Here is a 4,224-nt window from a genome sequence, read left to right on the forward strand (position 1 = left end):
CTTCCTCCGCCTGCTTTGTTCTATACAGTGCAGCGTGTGTACACCACTTCTGTGGTATTGTTTCTAATATCCATGGGAAGAAAGGGTGATGTTACTCCCAATAGCGCATGGGGGTGTACATCCCCTGTGATATTATTCCTAGTATGCAGGGGCAGGGAAAGGATGACATTACTCCCAATATCGCAGAGGGTGTTCTCCCCGCCTTGTGATATTGTTCCTAATATTTAGGGGATAGTGGGTGATATTACTCCCAATATCACAGGGGGTGTGCACCCCCCGTGGTATTCTTCCTAATATCCGGGAGGGGGAGAGGTTGATATTACTGTCAATGACACAGGGGGTGTACATCCTCCCATGGTATTGTTCCTAATATATGGGGGGGGGAGATGATATTACTGTCAATAACACAGGGGGTGTAGACCCCTTCGGTGATATTGTTACTAATATCTGGGGGAGAGAGGATGATATTACTGTCAATATCACAGGGGGTGTACACCCCCCCGTGGTATTGTTCCTTATATCCCCAGGGGGGGAGAGGAAATTGTCAATATCACAGTGGGTGTACACCTCTTCTGTGATATTGTTCCTAATATCCGGGGGGGGAGAGGATATTACTGTCAATATCGCAGGGAGTGTACAACCCTTCTGTGATATTGCTCCTAATATCCAGGTAGGGAGAGGATCATATCACTTTCAATATCACCAAGTGTGTACATCCCCCTTGTGATATTTTTCCTATGTTTAGGGGATAGTGGATTATATTACTGTCAATATCACAGGGGCTGTGCACCCCCCCATGGTATTGTTCCTAATGTCCAGCAAGGGATAAAACACTACTACTCCCAATATGGCAGGGGGTGTACAAGTCCTATGCGATGCTGTTCCTATATCCATGGGGGAAAATGATATTGGGAACAATATTACAAACAATATCACAGGGGGGTGTACGTGTCCTGCGATATGAGGAGTAATATAACCCTCTCCCCATCTGGATATTACAAACTGTATCACAGAGGGGTGTAAACCCCCTGCGATGTGGAAAGTAGTATCATCCTCTCCCCCACTGGATATTACAAACAATATCACAGACGGTGTACACATGAGGTGTTTATGATATTGGGAGTAATATCATATCCCCCAGTGGATATTATGAACAATATCACAGAGGGGTGTATACACACTCTGCCTCATAGGGAGTAATATACTCCTCTCTCACCCTGGATATTACATCGCAGGGAGGTGTACATCCCCTGTGATACAAGGAGTAATATCATCCTTTCCCAGCCTTGATATTACAAACAATATGGCAGGGGGCAGTACCCCCTGGCGATATGGGTAGTAACATCATCTCCTCCCCGTGTGGATATTACAAACAATATTCTAGGGGGTTGTACACCCCCTGCAATATGGGGAGTAACATCATCTTCTCACCGACTAGATATTATAAACAATATCGCAAGGGGGGTGTACACTTCCTGCAATAAAAGGAGAAATATCATTCTCTCCCCCCAGAGTATTATGAACAATATTGCAGGGAATTGTTCTCCCATGCTATATGGGGAGTAACATCTTCATCTTCCCCCTGGATATTACGAAAAATAATGCAGGGGAATGTAAATCCCCTGCGATATGGGGAGTAAAATCATTCTCTCTGGCCAGGTGCGGTGGCTCACACCTGTAATCCCAGCACTTTGGGAAGCCGAGGCTGGTGGATCACGAGGTCAGGAGACCGAGACCATCCTGGCTAACATGGTGAAACCCCGTCTCTACTAAAAATACAAAAAATTAGCCGGGTGTTGTGGCGGGCGCCTGTAGTCCCAGCTACTAGGGAGGCTGAGGCAGGAGAATGGTGTGAACCTGGGAGGCGGAGCTTGCAGTGAGGCAAGATCAGGCCACTGCACTCCAGCCTGGGTGACAGAGCGAGGCTCTGTCTCAAAAAAAAAAATCAAATCATTCTCTCCCTCCCTGGATATTATGGACAATATCACAGGGGGGTGTACAACGAGTTTCTAGAATATATTTGAGGAGGGTGAAGGGCGGTGTGTGCGTGCTTCATGGCCTCATTCAATTAAACACTCTGCTCTCAATTTATTGCTAAATCCTCCTTGAGCCCTTAGATTTCATAACGGTTGTCGCGAGATTTTTCTGGATGTAGAAAACGTACCCATTTCTTGCCACCTCATGGGCTACACCTTGACCTAACGTTTTTATGTAGATACTTCTGCTTACTCTGTGGCCTTTCCAGGGTTTGCTGAAGATGGAGGTATATAGGCTGGGCAAGAGGTGGTGAGGTAAATTGGGGTTTATCGATTATAGAACAGGCTCCTTTAGAGGGATATAAAGCACTGCCAAGTCCTTTGAGTTTTAAGCTGTTGCTTGTAGTGTTCTGGCGAACAGTTTTGTTGATCTAACTATTCGAGTTTAGGGTTAAGCATAGCGGGGTATCTACTCCCAGTTTGGATCTTAGCTATTTTGTCTTCAGAATATTAAAGGCACCTTCGTAGTTATTTCAGCTGGGGTTTTTTTACAACTTTTTTACAACTTACTTAGAAACTTTCAGGTTTCTAAATATACGAATGAACCATAATATAAGCCTTGGCCAATACAACGCCAGTTAGGCCTCTTACTGTAAAAAGGAAAATAAATCCCCGGGCTCACAGCATTGCGGGGGATCATTTGATATTACCGCCGTGAAGTTTAACTAGCTAGTCAGCTAAAAACTTTGACGCTAGTAGGAATAGCAATAATTATAATAGCAGAGGTGAAGCAGGCTCATGTATCCACATCTATCCCTACCGTAAATATACGGTGGGCCCATACAATAAACTGTAAGAACCCAACTGATCCTATAGCTCACACTAGGCCCATATACCTGAACGGTCCTTTTTTTCCAGAATAGTATGTTACGACGTGGGAAATTATCCCAAAGCCCAGTGGGATGAGGATGTAGACTTCAGGGTGACCAAAGAATCTGAATAAATGCTGATATAAGATAGGATCACCTCCACCAGCCACGTAGAAAAAAGTAGTATTAAGATTGCGGTCAGTTAACAATATAGTGATGCTGGCGGCTAGGACTCGGAGACAAAGGAGTAGAAGAACTGCTGTAATTAGGACTAATCAGATGAAGAGGGGTGTGTGATATTGGGACATGGCTGGGGGTTTTATATTAACAATTGTGGTAATAAAGTTAATAGCCCCTGAAGCAGAAGAAACACCTGCCAAGTGGAGTGAAAAGATAGTGAAATCTACAGAGGCGCCTGCATGTGTTAGGTTTCCTGCTAAGGGAGGAGAGACTGTTCAGCCGGTTCCAGTGCCAGCTTCTACTATAGTGGATGCAAGTAATAATAGGAAGGAGGGTGGGAGGAGTAAGAAGCTCATATTATTTATGCAGAGAAATGCTATAGCGGGGGCGCCAATTATCAGAGGGACTAATCAGTTGCCAAGACCTCCAATTATAGTATTACTATAAAGAAAATTATGACAAATGCATAGGCTATAACAATGACATAAATTTGATCATCTAGTAGAGTTCAGCTCGAATAAGGCTTAAAGCTGTACTGACTATCCCTGCTCATGTGCCAAATAATAAATATAATGTCCCGATATCTTTATGGTTGGTTGAGAATAGTCAACTGTCAGCCAACATAAATGAAGTGAGAAAAAAGGGTAAAATGACTGAGTAGGGCATTAGACTGTACATCTAAAAACAGAGGTCAAGGCCTGTTTTTACGAGTCCCGAGGTGATTTTCATGTTAAATTGTAAATTCAAAGAAGCAGCTTCAATCCTGCTTCTCTCACCTTTTTTCCCCCAGCGGCTGGAGAAGAAGATTCAAACCAGTTGACTAGGGAGTTTAGCTGTTAAGTTTTCGTGGGTTTAAGTCTCATCAATTTAGTAAGGACTTAGCTTAAAGTGATAGATCTGTATTCAATTGACCAAGGGTGATCTGTATCTGAGAAAGTACATTTCAGGGCTACCATACAACAACTGTTCAAAAAGGCCTCCAATATGGGATAGTACTATTTATTATCTCAGAAATTTTTCTCTTCGCTGGATTCTTTTGAGCATTCTACCATTCTAGCCTAGTCCCTACTCCAGAATTAGGAGGACATTGACCCCCAACAGGTATTTCTCCCCTTGACCCCCTGGAAGTACCTCTCCTGAATCCATCTGTATTACTTGCTTCAGGAGTTTCAATTACTTGAGCCCATCACAGCCTAAAA

This window comes from Homo sapiens, unplaced genomic scaffold (assembly GCF_000001405.40).
Source record: "Homo sapiens unplaced genomic scaffold, GRCh38.p14 Primary Assembly HSCHRUN_RANDOM_CTG21".
In the NCBI taxonomy this organism is placed as follows: Eukaryota; Metazoa; Chordata; class Mammalia; order Primates; family Hominidae; genus Homo; species Homo sapiens.